The 27,932-nt window shown below is 39.6% G+C and overlaps 1 protein-coding gene across 30 annotated transcripts in view; it reads right to left on the bottom strand.

The window, feature by feature from the left end:
• Positions 1-27,932, bottom strand: part of PTPRM (protein tyrosine phosphatase receptor type M) — an 839,541-nt gene that overhangs the window by 131,830 nt on the left and 679,779 nt on the right. For 11 of the 30 annotated variants that reach the window (XM_011525708.3, XM_011525712.3, NM_001105244.2 and 8 more), the window contains 4 exons: positions 27,108-27,182; positions 26,851-26,877; positions 22,528-22,539; positions 21,613-21,800 (listed from right to left, as the gene is read on the bottom strand). In XM_011525708.3, the coding sequence (XP_011524010.1) occupies positions 21,613-21,800; positions 22,528-22,539; positions 26,851-26,877; positions 27,108-27,182 (302 nt within the window). The remainder of the gene's footprint in view (positions 1-21,612; positions 21,801-22,527; positions 22,540-26,850; positions 26,878-27,107; positions 27,183-27,932) is intronic. The other 19 variants (XM_047437715.1, XM_047437716.1, NM_002845.4 and 16 more) reach the window with 3 other exon arrangements.

Raw genomic sequence — 27,932 nt, 5'->3', positions numbered from 1 at the left:
TTCTTACGGCATCTACCAGTTGCAGGTTGCAGAAGAAACATGTTTCCTACAGTGACTGCAGGCTGAAGGATAATCATATATGTCTCGTAAATTAAGGGGAAACCCTGCTAGTAATCCTTCAACATGCAATGCTGGAATGGTGTCTGATGTCACTCAAAATCCCAGTGAGTTCTTCCTTGATTAACTATGCATGCAAGCTCTTGACAAGGACATTGGAGGGATGTTTCCTGAGGACAGAGAGCTGTGACTCTTATCCACTCTGGCTCAAAGTTTTGAACTTTGCTTAACAGAGTTCTGGTACTTACGGTGGTGCAAAGGGCTGTGTCCCTAAGGCTCTGCATATCTAACAGTATTTCTGAGAGTTCTCATGGGAAGGGTTTATAGGTCTAATAATTTAACAAATGCTTAGGTGGATGTCATTCTGAAAAATGGCCTTCCAAGAGCAATGCCAGCACAGCTCAGGCACTGATTAAATGGTTCTGACATAATTGCCAGTTCAGAAGAATCATGACAGCCACTACTCACACAATTTTGGAGTGAAAACTATTGAAAAGAGTCACATGGGAAAAGCATTGGAAAAGCAATTATGAAGAATCATTTATTTATTTTATGGGAACACTGATGTCAAATATTGGCAGATTTTTAAAAAAGCATTAAAATTATCTGACCAATGCAGTAGTCATAGCTAGTACTCAAACACATAAATTTAAAAATTTTATTTAGTGAAAAATAGATCAAATTCCACGTTCTGCAGCGTATCTGAGGTTCTTTAAAATGGCTAAGGGGTCAACATTAATGAGCTCTGTGCCAAACTATAAACAAGAAGTCCAACATGGAAATTGGATATCAAGACCCTAAACAAAGCATAAACCGCTGAAAACTCTATACAAGATTTAGTCCCCACCAACAAAGCACGAAACAGCATGACAGTGAGCAACACTGGTGAGCTTAATGCTCCATCTATTGGGAGAAGTACTAGTGCTACCTGGTGCTCTTGAGTACAGTGACAATGGTTTCAAGCACACTGGAGTAGGTCAGTTGCCTCCCCATTGCAGAGGAGCTGGGGGATTGAAAAAAAAATGTTACTGGACTGCATGCTGACAGTCAGAACTAATGTTTAGAGGAATTTCCAAAGGGCAGAGGAAAATGGGCAAACCATATGGGGCTTTTGAGCAAACTGCTTTTCCATCAGTTCTGAATTGTTTGGCGAGCTCCATTTTCTCCTCCTTTCTGCTCATCAGACTTACAGGACAAGTCGTATTGTTTCTAAATACTGTCAGTCTTGAATTGCAAATGTAACTTATAAAAGACCCATATATACCAATGATTCCTACCATACTGCTGAATCCCCACAACCTCTGATGCCTGAGAATATGTTTTTACTGGGAGGATCTTGTTTAAAAATTAGAGCTTTTAGACAAAGCTCTGAAGGTTCAGCAATGCAATGAAAACAAGAAGGAACAGGAGCTGTGGAGGAAGATGCATGGACCTGGCTGAAGTCTAGGCTTTGGGTCAGTGACAAAAGAGAAGATGAATGATGAGCCCAGGGCAGTAGCAAAGGAGAGGTAACTGAGCAGAGGGTATGGAACATATAATCCCATCTTTCAGAACCACTGCAATTCATAGAGGGAAAATGAGCCAGCAGTCAGGGGCTCACATAAAGATCAAGACTAGAGAGATCTATAGAATCAAAGTAAATTACAGATATTCACTCCATTTTACATGAACTTCCTATATAGGGAAGAAAAGGTAGGGTGGGGGAGAAGCCTAAGAACAAATGGAAGAAACATCTCTTACAAAATAAGGTGATAGAAATGCATTCAAATCTATCATGAACCACAATAAACTAAAAATGTACTAAGTGGTAACATGGTAGAATTTAAAGGTAAAAGCTGTGAGACTTGATTGAAATACTAAAATCTAGCTATATGTTATTTATGAGACACCACTAAAATAGAGGGGTTGAAAATATATTCTAGAAAAAATACTAATTAGAAGGAAACTGGCAAAGTTATATTGAAATTAGACAAAATAAACTGTAAAGAAAAACATTACTAAAGATAATTCTATCAGTGCTTAATGATAAAATGTTAAATTCACTTTAAAAGATAGCAATTCTAAACTTGTATTTTCCTTATAACTTAGCTCCAAAATATATTACCTCTTTCAACACACTTCTTTCAGTAACTGATAGATTAAATAGACAAAAATTAAGTATACAGAAAATGTGAACAAAAGCTTGATCTAAAAAATATATAAAACACTGTGCTCAACATTGTTTTTAAGAATACATAAAATATTTAAGAAAACATTATGTATAAGGCTCTAACTAATGTTCACAAATTGCAATGAATGTTCTGATTGTATATAATGCAATCAACTTGGAAATCATTAATAAAAAGATAAAAATCTTCCATGCACTGAGAACTAAAATATACACTCATAAACTCACATGCTTCTAAATAATTCATGGGTCAAATAATTCATATTAAAAACTAAAAATATTTAATAGTCAATGATAATAGAAATACTGTCAAACTTACTGGATGCAGGGCAAGTGTTACTTAGAGGAAAATCAATACTTAGAGGAAAAATCAATACTCTCAAATCAATGTTTATATTTGAAAAAAAGAGGGCAAGTTAATGTGTTTAGCACCTCATTTAAAAATAAGAAAAGAATAAACTCAAAGAAAGTAGAAGGAAATTAATAAAGAACAGTATTAAAAGAAATTTTTAAAAAATGTAATATTAAAGATCAACAAACACAAAAGCTATTTCTTTTTCTTTTTTCTTTCTTTCTTTCTTTTTTTTTTTTTTTATTGAGGCAGAGTCTTGCTCTGTCACCCAGGCTTGGAGTGCAGTGGCACAATCTTGGCTCACTGCAACCTCCACCTCCCAGGTTCAAGCGATTCTCCTCTCCCGAGTAGCTGGGATTACAGGCGCCCACCACCACGCCCAGCTAATTTTTTGTATTTTTAGTAGAGATGGGGTTTCACCATGTTAACCAGGATGGTCTCAATCTCCTGACCTCAGGTGATCCGCCTGCCTCGGCCTCCCAGAGTGCTGGGATTACAGGCGTGAGCCACTGCGCTCAGCCAACAAAAGTTATTTCTTTGAAAAGATTAATAAAACTGACAAACGTCTGGCAGGAATGCTAAAGGAAAAAAGAAGGCATAAATAAACTATATAATTATGAAAAAGGGATAAAGAAACATGAGTAGAAACAAATTAAAAAGATAAGAATATATTAAGAAATGTATGCCTCTAAATAAAAAAGATAAAATGTAGAAATTCATATGAAAATATTAACTATCAAAATTAACTCAAGAAAAATGAGAAATCTGTAACAGACCTATTAACTACTGAAAAAAATTAGTAATCTAAAATTTTAGCATGGGGAAATTGCCAGATCTAGCCAGTTTTACAGGTGACTTTTAAACACTTAAGGGAAAAATAATTTTAAGAGAATAAAAAAATACAGAATGTGATTCCACTCATTTTAAAAAGCAGATATTATTTTAATTCTAAAATCACAATATGAAAATATAATAAGGATAACTAACAGATTAGACTCGCCTATGAACATGAATGAAAAATGATCAGTTAACAGCACTCAGCAATGTTTAATATATATCATGACCAAGTTAGGTTTATCCCAAGGATGAAGGGTTGGCTTTTTGGTATATAATAATAATATTAATTATATAAATCACATATATGTTATATTAACTTTCTATGTTAACATACCAAAGAAGAGAAATCAAATAATTATTTTGTATCTCAAAAAATGCTAAAAAGGATCCTATCAAATCCAGTATCTATCCATGGTAAATAATATAAATAAACCAGGGATTAAAGGGAATTTCCTTAACCTAATCATAACTGACAAGCTATTAAGGGTACTTGTCAACCTATGTTTTTAAAATATTTCATGTAACATATATATTGTGAAATGATTACCACAGTCAAGTTAGTTAACACATCTTATAACCTAATTTAGTTACTTTTGTGTGTGTGGTGAGAACATTTAAGATCTACTTAAGTCTCAGCAAATTTCAAGTATGTAATAAGTATAATTAACTACAGTCACCATGCTGTACCATGCTGTACATTAGTTTCCCGGAACTTCTTCATCTAATAACTAAAGTTTGTACCTTTTGACCAACATCTCCATTTCCTCTAACCCCCATCCCCTGGCAATCATCGTTCTACTCTGTTTCTATGACTTTTTTAGATTCCACATGTAAGTAAAACCATACAGTGTTTATCTTTCTCTGACGTATTTCATTTTGCATAACGTCCTCAAGGTTCATTCATGTTGCTGCAAATGGCAGGGTAGACTTCTTTTTTTGTGGCTGAATAATATTCCATTGCATATATGCACCATAATTTCTTCATCCATTCATCTATTGATAAACATTTAGGTTGTTTCCATGTCTTGGTTATTGTGAATAATGCTGTAATGAGCATTGGAGTCCAGATGTCTCTTTAAGATGCTTCTATTTTTAACCTTTTGTGGAATCTCCACACTGTTTTCCATAATGGTGGTAAAAAATTACATTCTCACCAACAATGCAGAAGAGTTCCTTTTCCTCCACATCCTTGCCAACACTTAGGTTGATTTGTCATTCTGAAAGGTGTGAGGTGATATCTCATTGTGGTTTTGATTTGCATTTCCTTGATGATTAGTGATGTTAATCACCTTTTATTATACCTATTGACCATTTGTATATCTTCCTTGGAAAAATGTATCAGGTTATTTGCTCATTCTTAAGGATTTTTTTTTTTTTGCTATTGAGTTGTATGAATTTCTTATATATCTTGAATATTAACCCTCTTATCAGATATACGGTCTTCAAATATATGCTCTCATTCTGTAGGTTGCTTTTTCTCTTTGTTGATTGTTTCCTTTGCTGTACAGAAGTTTTGTACTTTGATATAAACCTACTTGCTACTTTTGGTTTTGTTGCTTATGTCTTTGTTTCATATCGAAAATGTCATTGACTGCTTTGTAGTGGGTCCTAAGAAAACAAACAAACAAAGAAAAAAACATTGCCAAGACCAATGTCAGGGGGTATTTCCCTAGGTTTTCTTCTAAGAGTTTTACTGTCTCGGGTCTCATGTTTAAGTCTTTGAAGAATTTCAAGTTAAGTTTTGTGAGTATAAGAGAGCAACCCAATTTCATTCTTTTGCATGTGCATATCTAGTTTCCCCAACACCATTTATTGAAGAGATTATCCTTTCCCCATCGTGTATTCTTGGCACTCTTGTAAAATATTAGTTGATCATATATGCATGAGTTTATTTCTGGGCTCCTAATTCTGTTCCATTGGTCTCTGTGTCTGTTTTTATGCTAGGATCATACTAATTTGATTACTGTAGCTTGCAATAAAGTTTGAAATCAGGGAGTCTAATGCCTATAGTTTTATTCTTTCTTAAGATTGCTTTGGCTATTTGGGGTCCTTTGTAGTTCCATACAAATTTTAGAATTTTTTTTCCTATTTGTTAAAAAATGCCATTGGAATTTCAATGGAGATTGCACTGAATTTATTGGTCAGTTTGGGTAATATGGGCATTTTAACAATATTAAGCCTTCCAATCCATGAACATGGGTATTTCTTTCCACTTATTTGTATCTTCAATTTCTTTTATAAATGTTTTCTAGTTTCCAGTGTATAGATCTTTCACATCCATGGTTAAATTTATTCTAAGTATTTTTATTCTTTTTGATGCTATTATAAATATGATTTTTCCTCTTCATTTTCAAATAGTTTGTGTATAGAAGTAAAACTGATTTTTGTATGTTTATTTTGTTTTACTGATTAATTTATTAGTTATAACAGTTTCTGGTGGAGTCTCTGAGGTATTTCTATATATAAGATCATGTTACATATAAACAGAGACAATTTTGCTTCTTCCTTTCCAATTTGGATGCCTTTAATGTCTTGTTCTTGCCTAATTGCTCTGGCTTGGATTTCTAGTACTATGTTGAACAGAACTGGTGAGAGTGGGCACCTTTGTCTTGTTAGAAGAAAAGCTTTCAGCTTTTCTTTGTTGAGTATGTTAGCTGGAAACTTTATATACGGCCTTTCATATATGCTGAGGTATATTCCTTCTATACACAATTTGTTGAGAGTTTTTATCATGAAAGGACTTTGAATTTTGAGAAATGCCTTTTCTACATATATTGAGGTGATCATATAATTTATATGCTTCATTCTCTTAATGTGGGGTATCATATTTATTGATTTGCATATGTTGAACCATCCTTGCACCCCAGGGATAAATCCCATTTGATTATGGTGTATGATCCTTTTAATGTGCTGTTGAATTTGGCTTGCTAGTGTTTTGTGGGTAATTTTTGGATCTACATTCACTGGGGATATTGGTTAATCCTTTTTCTCATAGGGTCCTTATCTGGCTTTGGATCAGGGTAATATCGGCCTTGTAAAATGAGTTTGGAACTGTTTTCTCATCTTCAACTTTTTTGGAAGCATCTGAGAAATACTAGCCTTAATTCTTCTTTAAATGTTTGGTAGAATTCACCAGTAAAGCCATCTGGACATGAACTTTTCTTTGTGGGAGATTTTTGATTAGTGATTGAATCTCCTTGCTATTGCTATATTTGAATTTTCTATTTCTTCATGAATAAGTTGTACGTTTCTAGGAATTTACCCAGTTCTTCTAGGTTATCCAATTAGTTGGCATACTTTAATCTTATCAAACCAAAAGATGTATAGGATTTATAAAGAAGATTTTGAAGCTTTATTGAAAAACATTAAAGAAGATCCAAACAAATGGAGGCATAAACCATATTAATGGATAGGAACAGCCAATACTGCCAAGAAGACAATTCTCCCAAGATTTATAAATGCATCCCATGCAATTTCAAACAAAACTATACAGAGTTTTTCCTAACGCTGACTGAATTGTCCATGTTTCCCATGGCCTTGGTGATTCTAAAATTATGGAAACACAAATACTGAGAATTAACAACATGTTTCTACAGAAGAAAGGAAAGGTAGGCAATAAAAGAGCTTAGACACATTAGTAGGAGACAAATAATAATACTCTAGTGGGTAAAGATGCAAAGGATACGAACAATTCACAAAAGAAAATTTTCACCTGGTCAGTAAACATATGAAGACATGTATAGCTTCAAATGGAACAATAAGGAAATAATCTTTTTTCACTCATCAAATTGGCAAAGATCTTTTAAAAGTTTAATAGCCATTTTAGTGAGGAACTGAAGTAACCATTCTTACAGAGTGCTGATGCGAATGTGAGCTTATGCAACCTTCATGAAAACAGGTTGTCAAAACAGGAGTATGTAATGAATCTTAAGCATTTTATATACTTCGAACTAGTAATTTCATCTCTTGAAATACATCTTTAGAAAGGAATGGAGGTAAATCTTAAGAGTTATTTATAGCAGTGTTCATAGAAAAGATAAAGGAAACATTTGGGATATAATATTAAGTGTAAAAATAAGATATGAAACTCTTTGTGTTAAGATTGTAATGCCTTAAAATATTAGGCAGAAAATTATTGAAAATTGATAGTGAGTTATAGGTGATTTTTTTAATGCTTTCTTTAAAATTTCCAAATTTCTTTTTAAAATTATATTTTTCTCTTAAAAGAAAACAACAAAATTGGGCCTGGAAAGCTTTAAAAACAAATTAAATACTCCATACTCTTACAACTATTTTTCATCATTAAAATGGAGAAAAAAAATAAAAGCAACCATTCTCTTTAGGCAGATAAATTATGTTAATTGGATTTATAGTATATTCTCTTCATGTTTCAAGAAGTAAGCTTAAAATATACTTAGTAATCAGCCAAGTAAAATATTTTGGCCATAAAATTGGCAAGGAACTCACATGCATAATTACCTAAAGCACATAAATACAATACATATAAAAACATACGCTGCGTATTTATAATTAACACTGAATACATTACAATTATTCAGTATCTCATATAGTTTCCCTGAAGTAAACAGATAAAAGGTTTTCCATGTCTCCCTAAAGGGCGATAATAGAAGATAAAGGGAGTGAAGAAGTTTTTAAAATCTATAGCATAATGAATAATATGGGTGAATTCTTTTTTTTTTGTTTTTGAGACAGAGTTTCACTCTGTTGCCCAGGCTGGAGTGCAGTGGTATGATCTCGGCTCACTGCAACCTCCGCCTCCTGGGTTCAAGCAATTCTCCTGCCTCAGCCTCCCAAGTAGCTGGGACTACAGGTACCTGCCACCACACCTGGCTTATTTTGCTATTTTTAGTAGAGGTGGGGTTTCACCATATTGGCCAGGCTGGTCTCAAACTCCTCACCTTGTGATCTGCCCACCTCAGCCTCCCAAAGTGCTGAGATTATAGGCATGAGCCGTGGCATCCAGCCAATTTGATTATATTTCAATCATGGACATAAAAGTACTTTATTTCAGAAGAGACAATAGAAATTGGAAAAGTCAGCATATTCCCTTTCTTTTCCGTGACATGACTGGTCAAAAACATGGGCTCTAATTCAATATTACTGTGTTCTGAATGATACATGTGACAATAATACGAATTTATACACTGTAAAATGTCAAACATTAAGTAATTCAAAACATTTAGTCCACATTATTTCCTTATCATTCACGATTCTTTTTTTTTTTTTTTTGAGTGGTAGCAAGGTTTACAGTGAAGAGCGAAAGAACAAAGCTTCCACAGCGTGGAAGGGGACCCAAGCGGGGTTGCCCATGATTCTTAAGAACTGGGTGAGTAGGGATTAGAGACATCATGGAATCATAACCACATTTCAGACACTGTGAGAACTTGATACAAAAGTGTGCTAATACTATAACCTTATCATCTCAATGCAGACTTCCCAGTGTTTTGGAGATGGGGTGTGGGTTAGAAGTGAGATTCGGAAGAGGCTGAAATGAGGGGAGACAAGAGGAAGAAAAGATAGGAAGGGCACATCGGGATAGAAACCACCTCATTCAGAAACTTGGAATAAAATCAGAACCAGCCACAGAGAACCAGAGAAGTGCCTGTGGATCATACGTGATGGCCATGTCCCCACACAGATCTCCAACAGCCAGTTAGTGTCGCCCACTGAAAAACATTCCATCCATGAGAATACGCCCATGAAACTGGAAATCCAGCATCTCTAAGGAGACCGTACTACTGCTAATATCAGAGACATTTTGTGAGTAGTTGCTGTCACAACTGATGGAAGTTCCTTCATGGAAGTTCCGTGATTTCCTCAATGTTCCAGTGTTAGAGAGTTCGCAGAGAGGAACCATGACCCACATTTGCCTTCTGATTCCTAATCCACTGTCCTTTCTATAACACAGCACTGTTATTTGAAAAAAAATTGACTTTTCAACTGGTTATTTTTTGTATCATTTAATCAAAGCATAAGGTGTTTTCTTGGCTCTGCCATGAGGTTAATAAGATTGTCAGTTATTTTGTATCATTCCATTGAAAAAAGATTCATCAACTTCCAGAGAAGATTTTTTAGAAAACCTTGGGCTTTCATGCCCAACTCAGGCTTACAAACTTGTCTTCTTCTTCTCTTCTCCCTTCTTCCTGCTGCAAGGTTGGTTGGCAGCCACGCAATAACCCAGGAGAGCAGCACATGGAATCTACGGCTCTCAAGAGCTGTAGCTTGGTTTTAGCCTAGAACTGGTCATGTCAGATGAGCCAGGATGGCGGATATCTTCAGAATGATTTTCCTGCATTCCTCAGACAATGAGAAACTAGAGCAGGGAGGAGCAATGTTGCAGGGACCTCATGTCACAGAGCTGAGACCCTGAGTGAGATTAATGGACAGCATCTGCTGCTGCTGAGCTGCTGAAACACAGCAGAATTGGCGCTGTCAACGGGGCCCCAGGCTGGATGGGTCCTCTGCCAAAGAACAAATCGCTGTTCAAAGCAAACACAACAGCAGAGAGGAAAACTAACATTCCTGCCTTGAAATCACAAGTCACATCAATAAAACACAAGGTTATTTCCATAGGTCTGTGTCTTCATGGAGTTTCATACAGAAGTCATGTGCTTCAGTAGAAAGAACACAGGCTTTGTGTTGCTCCAGCCTGCCTGCAACTCTAGACAGGACAGCCTGGGGCGAGTTACTTAAATTCTGACTCATTTTCTCATCTGGAAAATGGGTTTGATAGTAATGTAATAGCATTGTGGTTAGAAATAAACATCTCTGTGTGTGCTGTGTGTGTAGGTGTGTACTCTTTTTTTTTTTTTTTTTTTGAGATGGAGTCTTGCTCTGTCACCACGCAGGAGTGCAGTGGTGCAATCTCGGATCTCTGCTCACTGCAACCTCCACCTGCTGGGTTCAAGTGATTCCCCTGCCTCAGCCTCCCGAGTAGCTGGGACTACAGGTGCGCACCACCACGCCCAGCTAATTTTTTGTATTTTAGTAGAGACAGCGTTTCGCTGTGTTGGCCAGGATGGTCTCGATCTCCTGACCTCATGATCTGCCCGCCTCGGCCTCCCAAAGTGCTGGGATTACAGGAGTGAGCCACCACGCCCGGCCTGGTGTGTTCTTTGTACAGTGCCGATATAGTAGGTGTTAGTACAAGGGCAGGTACCCTCAACATCATGAAAGTTCTAGCAGCCAAGCAAGACTTATGGAAAGTCCACCCCTCAAAGCCTCACTTGCCTCTGAAATGCCTTTATGAGCTGTGAAACTGTCTATGATGATATAGAGTTTCTTTGTTGGAATAGTCATGTTATGAAATGCACTACAGTCTCATGTAAATAATTCTACATTGCTTCTATTAGCGGTTGGTAAGAGATAGGAAAAGCCAAAGTGCTTTTTCTCCTCTCACACATTCAGCCCAGCACAGAACACTGCTGTCATCAGACGTGCAGGATTTTTCCACACCAAACAACTCTCCAGTGGACATCAACTCTGTTTCCTCTCATTCGCTTCCACTCTGACACTTTCTACCTGGAGTCAGATCCCATAGGCTGAGGCCTCAGTCCCACAAGATGGCAACCCCCCGCTTCAGATGCCAGTCCCCAGTAGTAGGCTGTCATCTATACTATCAATCAAGGTTCCTATGACATCCTCCTTAGGTTTAATTTATTCACTAGAGCAGCTCACAGAACTCAGGGAACACACATTTACTGGTTTATTATAAAGGATACAGGCAAGCAACCACACGAACAGGTGCGTAGGACTGGGTATGGGGCCAGGACGCCAAGCTTCCATGCCCTCTGTGGATGTGCCACCACCCAGCACCTCCATGTATATATTCAGCAGCCCAGAAGCTCATCACAGCTTGTTCGAGTTTTTAGAGAGTGTGATCTCTAGCTGCCTCTACCCCTCTTCGCTGGAGGTTGGTGTGTGGGGCTGAAAAAGTTCCAACTCTCTAATCATTAGGTTTTTCTGGAGACCCACCCCATCCTGAGGCTAGCTAAGGGCTCCACTCTAAGTCAACATTAGCATCAAGTTAGATTTTAGTAAAAGATGCTCTTATCACTCATAAAATCCCAAGGGTTTTAAGAGCTCAGTGTCAGGAACCAGGCACAAAGACCAAATATATTTCATTCCTGCCACAAGGTTAAATAAGAAATGTAAAGCAAACATGTATTAAAAATGTTCATCCTCAGCTGGGAGTGGTGGCTCACACCTGTTATCCTAGCACTTTGGGAGCCCTAGGCAGGTGGATCACTTGAGGTCAGGAGTTCGAGACCAGCCTGGCCAACATGGTGAAACCCTGTCTCTACTAAAAATACAAAAATTAGCCGGGTGTGGTGGTGCTTGCCTGTAGTCCCAGCTACTCGGGAGGCTGAGGTGGGAGAATCTCTTGAACCCGGCAGATGGAGGTTGCAGTGAACCCAGACTGTACCACTGCATTCCAACCTGGGCAGCAGAGTGAGACTCCACCTTGAAAAAAAAAAGTCTATCCTCAAATTTTTAAACAGGTTGGCTTTCAATAAGTAAAATGACCAAATGGAACATATCTATGCTTTCCATTTTTAGGTGATCAGTATTGATCAGGTTCAAGTTGGTCCATACAGTTTTTCTGACTGGATACCCCTAGCCCACCCGATCCTATATGATGATTTGTAACATTCTGAGCTTGTATTTTTTAATAGTTCTATATCCATCTCTATCATTTCCCCAGGAACAGGTGTATGTGTTTAAATATGCAGAAATCAATTCATCAAATATGAATTACAAGGTGTAACTACATAGAAATCAATTCAGCACATATTCAGTATTGTTTGTCAAATACGTACTGAATAAATCAATTAATATATTGCCTACTATATTATCAGTTAATATACTGCCTACTGTATTATCAGTTAATATATTGCCTACTATATTATTCAAACACAGAGCTGTGAGACTGTAGGGGGAATGGTTGTTTCTGGTTGGGATCAGGGACAGCTTGGGGGGCAGTCACATCTGAGCTGTGTCCAAAGGGATTTGGCAAGTGAAGGAGGAGCTGAAGTCACGGCCAGGCAGAGGCCACAACCTGCAGCATGAGCCCTGGAGGCCTGGAGGATGGCAGGGTGGCGAGTACATGAGCAGAAGCAGAGCACAGCCTGCACGGTGGGAAGCACCTGCATTACAACGAAAGTCTGAAACACAGAGTGAGGTCTTGACACAGAGGGCTGAATGTGCTATGCTGAGGTTCTTATTTTTGGAAAGAATCCGTGGCATAGTTTTCAGCATCAGTCAAACATGATAACATCCATGTCTTACAAAGAAAACTGGTTGCAGAGTCTGGAACAGATTTGAAGGGGAAAGACTAGGTAGGAAGACAAGTCAGGGGACTCTTCCGATGGCACAGACAAGTGATCAGGGCAGGCCCTAGGGGAGGGGAGAGAGGGCAGCCACTGAAAATGGGGAGGAGAGAGAGCAGTTGGGACTTGAGCCTGCTGGTGTGGAAATGAGGGAGCGGCAGGGGCAATGGCAACCGTGAAATATCTAGTTTGACCATGTTAGTGGGCGGTGACAGCATCAAACTAATCAAAAGCAGGAGGACCAGTACCAGACACACATAAGGTCCGCAGATGCTGGCACACGGGCACGTTCACTATCCTTTCTGGGCCAGGTCCTCCAAGAAGGCACTTGTGGCTAATGGCATCTGACACTAAAAGCATGTTAACAAGTGGGAAAATTGCTTAACTTCTTTCAGGTTAGATACAGAAAATTCTAATAACCAGCTTCAAAATGGAAACCAGACAGTTGCCTAGAAGTGCTTCACACAAATAGGAAAACATCAACTGCCATGAATTATCATCAGCGGGAGCATGGAGAGTTGTAGGAAATAACAATTTTTAATCTAATTTTCTGAAGTCTGAGCTTGTATATGATGTCATCAGAGGCAAGGGCAAACGAAAACTGTATAAAAAATTAGCTGATGTGAAAGAGGCCCCGAAAGCAGGCGGACTGAGTGAAGCAGGCAACACATAAAACACACTTTTCTACTGGTACTTCAGAAAAAAAAATAAACCAAATATTCATGTCAAAACCAACTCTCTATTGCATTATTTAAAAATACGCAGAAACTTTCACCCACTAAGAAAGTACCCATAAACACATACACCTTACTTGCCCAAATAGCTTGAAGCCATCTCAAAATTTCAGAGTTCTAGAAGTGTTTATCATTTTCTTATGGACCTGGCTCACCAGCACCATAATAATTAAAGGAAAAAAGAGCGTCAAAAATCACTTGGCTGCTTCAGCCATTGGAGACACAGCCGTGTGATTCTTAATGCATTTACAGTGCCTGCCAGTGCCTCCCCACCCCCAGCTCCCCATCCTTAGCCTTCAATGGTTTGGTTTTGTTTTGTTTGTTTTGTATCCTATGGGACAGAAAACAACCTGCACTGATTGTGCCAATTGATTGACTCAGCTGGTCCCTCGAAATATGAAGCAGGAACTGAAAAGCACATCTGAAAAGTGTGTGGGCTGGAGGTGAGGGAAGGGGCGCCTCTCCCTCTGGACTGCACACAGAATCTATGAACCAGCTGTGCACAGGCAATGTTCTGTCAGCTGAGTAACACAAAGCGCCTTTGATTCCACCTGCCCCTGCTTCTTTGTGCAAAAGCCAGCGAAGGGGCTGCTGTGCACCATTCTGAAAAGTCGTCTAGAAGTGTGTGCAATTCTCCCTCTGCCAACCAACTCCCAACAAGGGGGAGCCCAGATGCCCGGGGCGCCTTCCTCCCGCGCCCTGCTGCTGGGCTGGTCTCAAAATTCCAGGGGCTGTCCTCCCCAGTTCAAGGCCTTTCCCATGGAAGGGCATCTGAAGGGAGGGAGTCAGAACTGCGATCTCTGCAGAGAGCAGGTGGCTTTCTGGGAGTGCTTTTTGTAGGATATGCTGGTGCTATGGTTTGAATATGGGTTGCCTGTCCCCATCAAAACTCATGTTGAAATCTGGTCCCTGGTGTGGCAGTGTTGGGAGATGGGGCCTAGTGGGAGGTGTTTGGATCAGGGGAGTAGATCCCTCATGAATGGGTTGGTGCCATCCTCATGCTAATGAGTGAGTCATGCTCTGGCAAAACTGGCTTAGTTACCACAAGAGCAGGTTGTTACAGAGCAATTCCAGGAGGTGGTTCATGCCTGTAGCTCCAGCACTTTGTGGGGCTGAGGTGGGAGGATCACTTGAGTCCAGGAGTTCAAGACGAGCCTCAGCAACATAGTGAGACTCTGTCTCTACAAAAAATTAAAAAAGTTAGCTGGGCTTGGTGGTGCGTGCCTGTAGTCCCAGCTACTCAGGAGGCTGAGTGGGATGATTTCTTGAGCTGAGGAGGTCAAGGCTGTAGTAAGCTATGATTACACCACTACACTCCAGCCTGGGCAACAGAGTGTCTCTTAAAAAAAATGAAAAAAGCAATTCTCCTTCTGTTTGGTCCTCTCTCACTGCTCGTGTCCACTTCCCCTTTGACTTAGCACATGGCCCTCACCAGAAGGCAGTGCCATGCTTCTCTCCTTCCCAGCTTGCAGAACCTTTTTTCTTTACAAATGACCGAGCCCCAGGTATTCTGTTGTAGCCACATTAAACAGACAAGAACAGCTGGCTTCACTGAGGTAGGAGGCAAGTAAATAAGAGGGAGATCTGGGGCCAGAGAGGGTGGCTCACACCTGTAATCCCAACACTTTGGGAGGCCAAGATGGGCAGATACCTGAGGTCAGGAGTTCGAGACCAGCCTGGCCAACATGGTGAAAAACTCTACTAAAAATACAACATGAGCCAGGAGTGGTGGCGTGTGCCTGTAGCTCCAGCTACTTGGGAGGCTGGGTTGGGAAAATCACTTGAACCCAGGAGGCGAAGGTTGCAGTGAACTGAGATGGCACCACTGCACTCCAGCCTGGGTGGGCCACAGAGTGAGACTAAGTCACAAAAAAAAAAGCAAGATTTTAGAGTGCAGGTGAGACATTTTAATAATAATTTTTTCTTAAGTTGCCACAGCTTTGTCAAATATAGACAAAGGCAGCAAATAAAACACTGAACTTGCATTTAACAAAGTCAGCTGTTTTACTTAGAAAACGGGGGAAGGATAAGAGGTGGGGGGATATACAACTCATATGTTTAAAAAAGACCTAAAAGGAGCTACAAGGAGACAGACGTGTTTAAAGAAAATTCAGGTTCCTCAGAAAACTTTATAGGCTGTACCTAATTCTGAAGATTCTGGCATAATGTTTTCAATTCCCCAGTTTAAACTGAGCTAAAAAACAATCTTCACATTCAACTATAAAATTAATTAACAGTGTTTGTGCCCAGGAGAGAGGCATAATATAAGAAAAGTAGGTGGGGCCGAGCACAGCAGCTCATGCCTATAATCCTAGTATTTTGGGAGGCTGAGGCAGGCAGATTACTTGAGGTCAGGAGTTTGAGACCAGCCTGGGTAACATGGCGAAAATCCATCTCTACTAAAAATACAAAAATGAGCCGGGCATGGTCGTGCAAGCCTGTAGTTCCAGCTTTCAGGAGGCTGAGGCTTGAGTATCGCTTTAATCCAGAGGTAGAGGTTGCAGTGAGCTGAGATTGTGCAACTGCACTCCAGCCTGGGTGACAGAGCAAGACACTGTCTCAAAAACAAAACAAACAAAAACAAAAAAAGTACGTGGAATAAAGATAATGCTTTTCTTAATATATTTAGATACATACATGTACACACACACTTTTTTTTTTTTGAAGAATAGGATGCAAAGAGTTACTTCAGTCTTTGATACGTTTCAGCTCTAGTAATTGGAAATCATTTTTTTGTGCCCCAGAGTGACACTATTAGCTAATAAAATAGTACCATCTGTGTTTTTCAGGACATCCTCTCTGGAAGTAGCCTTCAACTGACATCCTTTCTTTATCTTAATTTTACAGTTATAGCAAAACATATTCTTTCAGAATAATTTGGCTGTTTTCCTACTTAAGGTTGTCTTTCTGCTTGGATCCCCAAAGGGACTTAGAATCAGTTCAAAAATTGAGGCATAAAAAAAATAATCGAGCCATCAACAAGGTCCTTTGGGGACTGCAAAAGGGGAGGAACTCACTCTCCACTCGCACAGGATCACCACAACGTTGGACCTGACGTGGTATCAAGCCACTTACAAGGGGTGCAACACACCCTTGTCTAGGGCTGGGTGTGAGGGTTCAGGGCAGAGCTGCAGTCATGGCAAATGTCCCTGTTCAACTCTAGCTGAGAAAGGCCCAGAAGTCTGCGTGGGGCAGGGTGGCTGAGTCTGACCTGTCTGTCCCTCGTGAGTGAAGCGCTCTCTCTTCTACTTTTCTGGGAAGCCCAAAGGTTCCCCCCAGAGGCTTAGCACAGACTGCCCTTTGCTTGTCAGAGGAACCAGGCAGCTCTTCTCTCACAGCAACATAAACAAACTTGCCCTTTCTGCTCTTTCTCCTCTCCTGGAGAGGTCCCTGCACCACTCTCTGTTGACAACATGCCATTTTCTGTTCAATTCAGCATGTTTACTTCTTTATTGTGATTCATGTCTGAGTTTCTTTTGAATCAAATTATTGCATCTCCCTGGTGAGAGGTGCCATATGACTACCTTGTTAGAACAAAATCAAATAAAAAACCTGCACTGAGCTCTGCTCCATCTCATCCCCACCACATGGTATGCTCTTGTTCGGACATACTTCTGTCGGCTACTTGATCAGTAATGAATCCTTCTGGTGTTTAGGCCAATTTTGAGACACTGCTGTCTTGAAAACGATAAAGAAGAATTGGTTGAAACCTGTTCAGCAGAGAGAACATCACTACTTCAAAAAAATTTTACAACATAAATGACTGGCTTTTCCTGATAATATACAGATTGAAGAAGACCAGAAAGGCCGATGGGATGATTACACAGAGTCACAGCAACAACCAGAGCCATTCTTTAGATTTTATCCCCAAAGATGCTTCAGTACTGAAGTAATTCACTGCTTCAACAAGTCTTGAAGCCAAGCATTCCACGGCATTTTTGAATAGAGATAGAACAACAGGAACTTTTAAAGTAAATACACATTCCCTTTCTCCTTTACTTTTTTGGGGTATTACCTTTTAAGCATTGCCTGTGTGCCTCATACAAATAATATTTTAAAATTGAGCTGTTCAGACTAAATAGCTCTCCATCCAAGTACAGGAATGAGACTCAGGCTATTTGAGTCTTTCTTCTCTTTTACTACTTCTATAATGATGTCCAAACCTCTCAGTGTGACACAGGAGGTGCTTTTGGTGATTGGAGCCCTGACCACCCTCATCCCACAGACCAGCCCGTCCTGGGACTCAGGCATATAGAACTCCTGCCATTTCCTCAGAGAACCCCATTCTCCTGCTTTTGGGTCTACCTGGATGGCTACCCTCTTTCACCTTCTCTTGGTCAGCTCCCACTCATCTTCCAAGAGAGAAGTCATCCTTGCTCTTGGCTGGCTCAGGTGACCCCACTGGCCTTCAGAGTATGCCTGCGCATCTCTCTTAGAGGGTGTGGGGTTTGACTGGACAAACTACAGTCATTACCTGGCTGCCTTCTCCTGCCCTGTCAGCTTCCCCAGGGGACAGCGGAGAAGCAGTTCTCCTCTCTGTATCCCTGGCGCCATGTACAGTGTATGATTGGTAAAATTAAACTCTTCCCCAAATCCTACTTTGCCAAAGACACCAATGCAGCAACCAATAATTTTTTAGGAGGATTATGCAGTCTAGAGTTATAGTATTCCTTAGGACTCTCCAACTTAGATATGGAAATACTATTATAGCAATAAAACATGACAGCATATATTTCTTAAAATTTATTTTCTCAGTTCTTAAACTCTTAATCCATAGAATCAAGTCTACCTATTTATGTGTAAGTTACTTGTTAACGGGAATTTTTGATGATATATGGTACATGGTAAGAAAGTTATCCAGCCCTGGAGATGAAGGAAAAGTATAACCCCTTTCCATAACATGTGGCTCACTCTATCCTCAGACTGCTATGCGCAAGAGATGAGAGTTTTACTGAAACCTCAGTATAACGAAGTTTCCCTATAAAGAACATGGTGTCAACTTCTGCTCTTGGTCTTATTATACATTAGTATTTTTTTTCTTCTACTACCTAACACTTCAAATGAACACTTACTATATGCCAGATATAATTCTAGCACCTACATTAAAATGATTTACTCCTCACAACAACCTTTTGAGGTTGAGACTATAATTATTCTATTTATAGATTTGGAAACTGAGGCCCAGAGAGGTTAGATAACTTGCCGAAGGTCACACAGCTAAGAAGCAGAGCTGAGTTTGAATACAGGCAGTCGGGTGCCAGAGCCTGTGTTCCAAACCACAGCCTCTCAGTATCTGTTGGGTGGGATGGCCTCACTGAATAGCACAGAGACTCCCACTACACCAGTTAGCACTCAACACTCTTGACTCTGGGTGGGTGTTAATGAAAAGGATGCAGACTTTACAGCATGATGGAAAGAGGTCTGTTTTATTAGAGGTCTAAAAACTACATAAACTTCAAAAAAATAACTGTTTAAGGATTTGCCAGATTCTCATGAGAATAACACCTCCCTGGGGTTAGAGAAAGTGGGACATATGAGTACCTGCAGTCTGGGACCTTTCACTCCACCACCAGTTCCCAGAAGCCTGGCTGTGCCTCCATCAAGACCAGAGCATGTCATTCCATGACACACGCTTCTTAGGGGGCGTCCCCTTCTCCCTGCGGCCATGGCACAGGCATGCCCGCCCACCATCACCACTCCTCACTTCCCTGTCATCTACCCCACTAGACGACAACATCAGCATCCCTCCAGGAGGGCAGCACAAGGGGCACGGTACTCAGTGACGGGATTATTCCTAACAGAACTGCCCATTTCATACTTCTCCCAACATCTCCTTCCTATTTGTTCCTGATATCATCTCTAGTATATGTGTTTTGTTCATTATTTCCTTTCCTTCTTTTTTTTTAAATGAACAATGGCTTTAGGGTTTAAAAGTATTCACTTTTTGGCAGTCCTCTCTGACCACGGAATAGCTAAAATGAGAAAAAGTTTTCTGCAATGTACTTAATGAATACAACACTTTATTTTGAGAACTGAATTAGTTGTCAGTCATAATATGGTTCAAATTAGTATATAATATTTCAGTTTATACTTATAAATCATATTTATTCAAAAGATCTGAATGGGAAATATTTTCTACATCTTTCAAATATGCATTGTCTGTAGCATGTTATAGGAAGTAGGTATTTTTAAATAGTCCATGGAAAATTGGGCTCAGGTTATTTCATGAATTGTTATTTGAGCCTAAAACTAATCTCTTTAACATCTTTAATAAACATTTCAGTAATATCTGCATTCAGAATATTGGATAGAACCTAGACATCATCCCTATTCATTAGGCTTATATTTTTTCAATAACCTAATTTTGTCTTTCATACGATATTAAGCTTTTGGAAGTCTTACTCTTAATCCTATTAATTCCTAAGCTAGACTTTAAAAGTGCATGAGGAAATATGCAAAGGCAGTCAATTTCACTGAATTTACACATTGAATTGCTAAAGATAAATCTAAGAATTTCAGGGTTGCTAAAAGGCAGAACTTCAACTGAAAATATTTTCTGGACTTCAATTAAACCCTGGAGCACGGTCTGGATGGGATTGTTTGGCTTCACAGTCTTCTGAACTGAGGTCATTGGCAATACACCAGGATGCACATGTTAGCAGAGCAAAGTGTGTCTATGTCTGCTTTGGACCAAAGCCTTATTCCTAAAAGAAGTGTAGCACAGGCTCCGCCAACAGTGGTACCATGTGTTGCTTTGACTGCTGTAATGAATCTCTGATGATCAAGCTTGGAAAAAGAGCTAAACCCAAGACAATGCAGTGTCTGGGGCATAAAATGAAGTGTTGTGAGTGTGCCCACAGGAAGAGAAGAAACAGAGTTGGAAACTCACAGACTATCCAGGTGGTAGAAACAGATTTCAAAAACACTCTAATTCCAGACAAGATGTTTCCCAACTCTGAGCTAGTTAGGTGAATATGAGACCAGAACCACATTCTAAGGTTTAAAAAAACCACATGTCTACATAATCCTATTTTTACTCTGAGTAAGCATGCTACTTTAACTTCATCAATGACTGCGGACTGATTTTAATAACATAAAAAAGCAATCCAACTTTCCTGTCCTGCTCCCTGGGCCCCACACCACCCACTCAAGGGATGGCATGCTTCTTTGAATTAGATTTCTTCAATCAATTAATTCTCTTCAATTCTTGAATGACCTTCTGACAGAATTAACTAATGGCACAGGGTGTGAAAGGGGTAAGCCCTGTATTTTATGTATTCGGAGAATATCATTATTCCCAGAAATGTCCCTGACAGCTGCCCACACAAGAGCCCAAGACAGTGGCATGCTCTCTGGGCTGGCTGGACAGTAACAGCTGTCACTGCCATGACAATAGCCAGTCCCTGTACTGCTGTCTGATCTCCACCACATGACATTGCTGGTTGGTCTATAATTGCTTTAAGTGGACAGTTTCTTCCTGAGATAATGACTACAAAATCATTAGGATTTCATATCATAATTACAGGAAAAGCCAAGAAAGGTGATCAAGAATGGGGAGGGAGACATGAACTAAAACTTAATTCTGCCAGAGGGAAGAAGAAAAAAAGGGAAAAAAAACAGGATGGGGAGGGGAAGAGACCCTGGTAAATTTGTTTTCATTGTGTATTTGTGCAGAATAAGGTAAAAGGCAAAGCATTCTTCCTTTTTCCATGTAACGCATGTGAACTTCTTGGTAACAAGTTTTACTATCAGATGAAAGTGGATCCACGGATAAAATACAGTCGGCCTTGATATCCTAGCATTCTGCACCCGCAGATTCAATCAAATGAGGATTGAAAAGAATATATATAATATCTTTGAGATGCAAAACCCATGGATCTGGAGGACTGGATTTTTGGATTCTCAGGTTTCACAGGGCTCACACCGGGACTTGGACATATACTGGGGTCCTGGAACCAATCCCCCAGAATACTGAGGGACAACTGTACTTCATCTCTTTCTGGCATCTCTCGGGGCAGGGGGTTTTCTCTGGCTTTCTGATTGAGTTGGGAGCACAGTACCTGGCATGGAATCCAAGAAGGAATGGGAAAGCCCTGGCACAGAGCTTGTGCTCACCTCGTATTCCTCCTTGAAGCCGTAGCCCTCCGCACACTTCATCTGTGTGATGTGCTGAAGGAGGTCTGCCACCCGGATGGCGGGGTGGAGCTGCCCAGTCTGATAGGGCACGTCGGCCGGCTCTCGCTTCTTGTAAGTATGGGACTGCACCAGGCTGCTGGTATCGCTGGCCATTGTGTGGGTTTCATCTAGGAAAAGAAGGCCAGGGAGAAAATGAGGGAGAGCCAGGGAGCTAGGTCGGCATCACTGAGAATGCTAAGAAGCTGGCTCCTGGCATCCCCTCACCTAGGGGTGCAAAATTCCCTACGATGGCTCAGCAAAAAAGAAAAGTTAAATGTTTAGAAATTTAAATGGGGTTGGCAATACTGATAAGAATGCGCAGAAATCTTTCTTTTACAAAGCAGTCCAAACGATATATTGCTTTCACAAAGCTAATTGAGAAGAGCCCTTTAGCCTTCCAGTGCTAAAGTTTGTGAAAGTTTCAACCTGAAACTTCATCAAGACCTGGTGCAAAACCAGTCTTGTATTCTTTGAAACATTAGTTCAGTAGTTCGTATGATGACATAAATAAACTCTGCACAAATGTTCTGTGAGCAAAATAAAAGTGCACAAAATGGTGTGGCTTATAAAGCTAGCAATGGAAATGGGGACTTAATACATGAAATCAAAGAAGAATGGAAAAATAAAAGGGAACCTGGTTTGGGGATAACATTTTGATGAATCACTTTGCATGCTCTGGTATCAGAAAGCTTGACAAAATGTTGTGGACCAACACATCACACATGGAATGTTCTACAAAGGCAAACATGCAGGCCAGCACAGAGCAGCACCAGCTGGCTTTGTCAGAATCTACCAGTAAGACACACACTCCCACTCCCTCCACAACTCTTCCATGGGGCGAATCGGGGAACTTACCATTTATTGGCACTTTTAAGAAGATACATATCAGGAGAAAAAAGGAGGAGAAAAAGGAAACAGGGCATAAGCAATAGTACTGCGTGCATAATTACAGGTAGTTTTTATTTTATGCTTTAACTTTCCAGTTAAGTTTTCTATTCAGAGGTGGTCAGAGGGCGAAGCCTCAATTCTTCCATCACGTTAGGATGGAGGCATTGAATTTAAGTACTCCATAACAAAAAGGAGGTTAAAATTAGCATCATAATTGCTTTTCATCCCCCATGAACCAAGTAATGTCTAAATAAGTCTTATTTGTATTCAACACATTTTCTCATTTAAATTTCTTGAACAAGTCAACCAAATTGTACTATAAAATTAATGTCAAAATTTGGTCAAAGAAGCCTAAAGAGGCTCTATTTTAATGGAGGCCTACTAGAAAATTAGGTTAATGAACTGCAGAAATGGTACCTATTAAAAATGTCTTATGCAGGGAAATGCTATTAGATTAAGAATTCCACATTCTACAGGTTAACTCATTATAATGCTGAATCCCTTTAGCAGTTTTATGATTGAGGATGGGTGCTGTCAAAATATAATGCTAAAGTCACTTAAAATGAGAATGTTATATAAAACATATAAAAGATATATTCAAGTTTTAAAAATTACCAGATTGTATATCAATAGGGAATTCAGCTATAGTTATTCATATGTTATTTATTTTTTACGGAGAAGTTCAGCTCTGAAGAAAATTTAGTCCAAGGGTGCTTGATGAGCAGGGCCTGGTTTGGGAACCTCACTTCTATCTGCATCGCAAAGCACCTGGGGATGCATGGTATGAAAGGTGGTACACAAGTGTGTAGCTATGTTGCTGTTGCTGAAATGGCACCTGGATCACTACAACGTGGCTAAAGACACAAAGACAAAATAAAAAAGGGTGGTAAGTTGATTTTATGATTTTTGTTTCATTTGGATTTGCTTTGAAATTTAGCAAGTCACATGTTCCCATTTTAACAGTCACAAATAAACCTGGAAATTTTCACATCAGATTTGCTTGCTGGCAACTGCCAAGCTTTATAAACTGGGATACAGGAACCCTGCTGAAGTACCGAATCCCTTGAGCTTTGAGCCACTCCAGCAGGAAGTTCTGTTCTTTATACTAAAATAAATGGAACATTAATTAGTTTCCCCTCTGTGCCTCTCTCGTTCTCTCAGTTTTGTATCTTATGGGATGAACATAATTAACATGCCCTCCATGGTGGGCTGACCTTCTAAACTTCCCAGAAGTGATCTGGGTCCTTCACGTGGATACACCAGCAACCTAGCAATGCTCTGATCCCAGGGCTAGGTATTCTTGGAAGTTTTAAATCCATAGAGCTACATCAACTGTCACTGTTGTATGTAATCATCCTGTGCTGCATTATGCCATCTTGCCCTCATTACTAGTGTGGAACACGTCTTCAAGCATTTAAACACCACCAAGTCCATGAAAGAAGAGCCCTATTATCTAGTACATGCATATGGAAGAGGGAATAGAAGGCTTCTTGTGTGCTGCTATGAAATTGGGTCACTTATACTACTAGACATTCTTGATTCCACTAAAATTAGTGATTAATCTTCTCTAACTTAAAAAAGAATTATTATTGATAAAATATATTACTTGTCATTAATTTCCTTTATGTGTTTAAAAATTACCCATCAACAATTTTTTTTTCTACTTTTTTTTTTTTTGGAGACAGGGTCTTTCTCCATCATCCAGGCTGGAGGGCAGTGGCTCTATCATAGCTCACTGCAGCCCCAAACTCCTGGGCTCCAGCAATCCTCCTGCCTCAGCCTCTTGAGTAGCTGGGAATACAGGTGTGTTCCACCATGCCTGGCTAATTTATTATTATTATTATTATTTGAAGAGATGGGGGTCTCCTTATGTTGCGGAGGCTGGTCTTGAACTCCTGGCCTCAAGCGATCTTCCTGCCTTGGCCTCCCAAAGTGCTGGGATTACATGCTTGCACTATATAGTGCCTGGCCTCAACATTTTTTTTAATTAAAAATAATGCAGAAGAGCACATTAGAAATAAAGAAACAAAGCTTCTCACTAATAGTTTTGATGGTTTTCTAAGAACTGAAAATTAGTTCTACTTATATTCTTTATGAATTATCTTGAATTTTTAACAAACTAGCTGAAAAACCTTAAGTTGAAATGGATGCAATATATTTGAGGTAGGGTAGGTTCTGTCTGTCTATCTATCGATCCATCCATCCATCCATCCATCCAGCTATCCAACCATCCATTTAATCATCTACATTTTTGCAAGCAAATGAAGTAAAGATATACTCCAGCTCTATACATTAGGGCTGGGCATCTTAGCATGAGAGAGGTGGAGCTGAAGGTGCCAGAGAATTTAATTGTGCTGAGCTCTGACTCACAGCAAGACATTTCTTGTTGTCTTTGTGTAAATTATAACTGCTACTATCCCCCAAAACTGCCAGAGTAGATATATATATCTTAAATTCTTCCGTGGTTTCAAGTGCTAACCTCACCAATCCTTGTTACTCAATACATAGATTCACATTTGCACCAAGTAACGTGTAAGGAATGCAGTTCCCAAGTACTACCATTTGGTACCTATATAAGCCATACATGATAACAGTTATTGGTCTATCTGGGTGACTTATTTTTTACAATGTGCATCATTTTTGCTACTTGAATTGTCTGTCCAAGTGATTCCCTTTCAGTAAAGAAAACTAATCAACTTTAAAAGATGTCATTAATGTTCATAATAACAAAGCAGCGACTTTAAAGAATGATATTTGTTTAATAAGCTTGTCTTAACCCTGCTGTGAAATCTGAACATTTTCTTCCTTCTGACAAGGCACGTTTTAGCCCTCCCCACTCACGGCTCCCCCAAGGTCAGAAAATCTACTAGAGGAACCTCAGAATGAATGCCACAGCACATGAAGAAATCGCAAATCTTCGCCTATCAAAAGATTCTGCAAATGTCATTTGTATGTAGATTACATTGTTCTGGTGCCTAAGATTAGCCTGTGCCCCTCACTTATGAAAAGAATAAAATGCAATTTTCTTCCCCTTTTAATTGGTATTAAAAGTGTGTGGGCAGGGAGGGTTTAGTGGGCTTTGTTAGCCCTCAGAATGATGCAAAATTTAAAAACTCTGTTTTATATCCATTCTTAAAGTTCTATCTTAATTCATTTTTTCCTTAGGCAACAAACTTGCTTAAGCCCACAGAACACCATTAGGAAAATAAAAATTACCTTCTATACAAAAATCGTAACAACTTAGAGAAAAGAGAAGCAGAGGGGGGAAAAATCATGTTGGAAAGATATAAACCCTTGTCAAGTGAATTAGGAAGGAGAAGTCGAACAACTGAGGGTGGAACTCTTGCTACAATGAATTGTTATATACCTTGAAGTCGTTTTTGTTGTGCTCCTTTTCGGAAAGGTTAGTAGTAGAAAGAGAACACAGCCGTGATACACTCAGGTTATTTATGCGTCTCAAATGCAACAGCAGCTCATGCTTGTTTGGTTATCACAGCCAGGTAATGCCATTTTTCTCCTCACCCTTCTTATATTGGACAAACGGGACTTTTTCTGTAACCCCCTGCTGGGAATATTTCATACTTTAAATGCATTCTGCCCCACCGGGCTAACACCTTAGTTCATTTCTAGTGACATCTGACACATAATAAAGCATATGATTATAAGTGCCATCTTGTCATTTTGCTGTTCAGATCATCAGCTCCTTTGAAATTCCACTGTGTGACAGACACTTTGGAATGTTGGTGGGGGGGTGGGGTGCCCTGAGTGGCACCGAGGATGGGTAGAGGGCCAGAAGTCCATTGTGATCATTTTTCTGCATGACATTTGGCATAATTAGAAAAACGCTACTTTTAAAATTGAAGTTTTTAGTGCTTAGCAATAAGTGAAAATAATGAGAAGCTATTTTCACTTTTATGACTATCACACTAGACAGAATTCAGCTCTTGGAAAGTACACAGCTGAGTGATGACACCTTGTTTTTTTCCCCTGGGATCAGACCTAACTTTAAATTCTGAACACAGAAAGGGAGAATATTGGGGCTGAGATTGTTCATTTGAACCTGTTGGTATCATCCCCAAGATACATGCAGCAAACCCCTCTTATTAATGGCGACTGTTTAGAGAAAAGTCTCTTTTTCCTTTAACCCCATGACCCAGGCCACCCACCTCCCACATGTCGTGCTTATAATCACTGCATTATACAGAATTAAAACTCCAATCTCCTACAGAGTGGTCACTGACTTTCTAAATTACTCCTGCAATAAACTGTGGTAAAGGGAAATGTTCTCACCTAAAATTGCAGTTGGCACAAATGGGTCTGTCATACACCGTAAGCAGGTCAATGCAGAGAAAGTAAAAAGAGAAAGAACAGTAAATGATTGATGAATGCCCACCCCTATTTTCTGCATAGAAAGCTGTAGAAACGCATTGGGTTACAACATCTCAAACACAGTAAGCCCCTCAAGCACCAGGGATAGCAGAGAGAGGGCGGAGTGATTCTGACTGCTGAGGAGAGAGCAGAGAGGAGACAATGGAAAAAACTGTTACCTGGGTAATAGGAATTAGGCACCGATGTGCTCAGTGTATTTGTTTTCATTGTGAAGGACGATGGTGAAGACACAGCTGTAAATAAAAGAGAGGCTGGTCAGGGGCAGCAGAGAGGTAATACACTCTGAACACACAATGCTCTGAGACCACCCATGGTGACTCCATGCTACCCACGGTGACTCCGGGACTCACTGATGTCTATGTGGGAAATATCATCATTCCCAGTTGTTTCTGAGTACTTACTTATCCTTTAGAAGACAAGCAACCTTTCGTCACTTAAAGACTTTTCTTACCCCACAAATAAAGAGAAAGCCCACAACCACAGCCACCATTTTGGATAGAGAAATTCATCAGACTTCTATTTTGACTTCTGCCCTTTGCTTATAGAAATCTGCTCTCAGGCCAAGCTGAATTTTACAAGTAAAAGTAGAAGAAGGTGTCTACACATGGCTTTTGGAGACGATTCCCAATGTCAATGTTCCCATAGTTTGCTAAATCCTCTCCTTGCTCATATTTGGATATGCAGAGAATACTCCACAATGCTTTATGAAAAACAAAGGTGGTGCTCCATGCGTGTTCCTTAGTATTTTAAATCCTTACAAAAATGCTCTTCTTTAAAATATTCCTCTGAAACACTCAAGACTGAATTATTGCACCTTCTCTTCCTCTCTTTTATCAAGCAGGATAGTCAATCCCATCCAATTTATCTGATTTCATTAAAAATGGGTATTTCCTAATTTTAAGAGACATTTTAAAACGCTCTTCATGGATGACAGAGCCTTGATAGAATAATTTTTTTAAGTAAAAAAAAACCTCTTCAAATGT

The sequence above is a fragment of the Homo sapiens genome, chromosome 18 (genome assembly GCF_000001405.40).
Source record: "Homo sapiens chromosome 18, GRCh38.p14 Primary Assembly".
NCBI lineage: Eukaryota > Metazoa > Chordata > Mammalia > Primates > Hominidae > Homo > Homo sapiens.
This window is presented reverse-complemented; position numbering and strand designations above follow the sequence as displayed.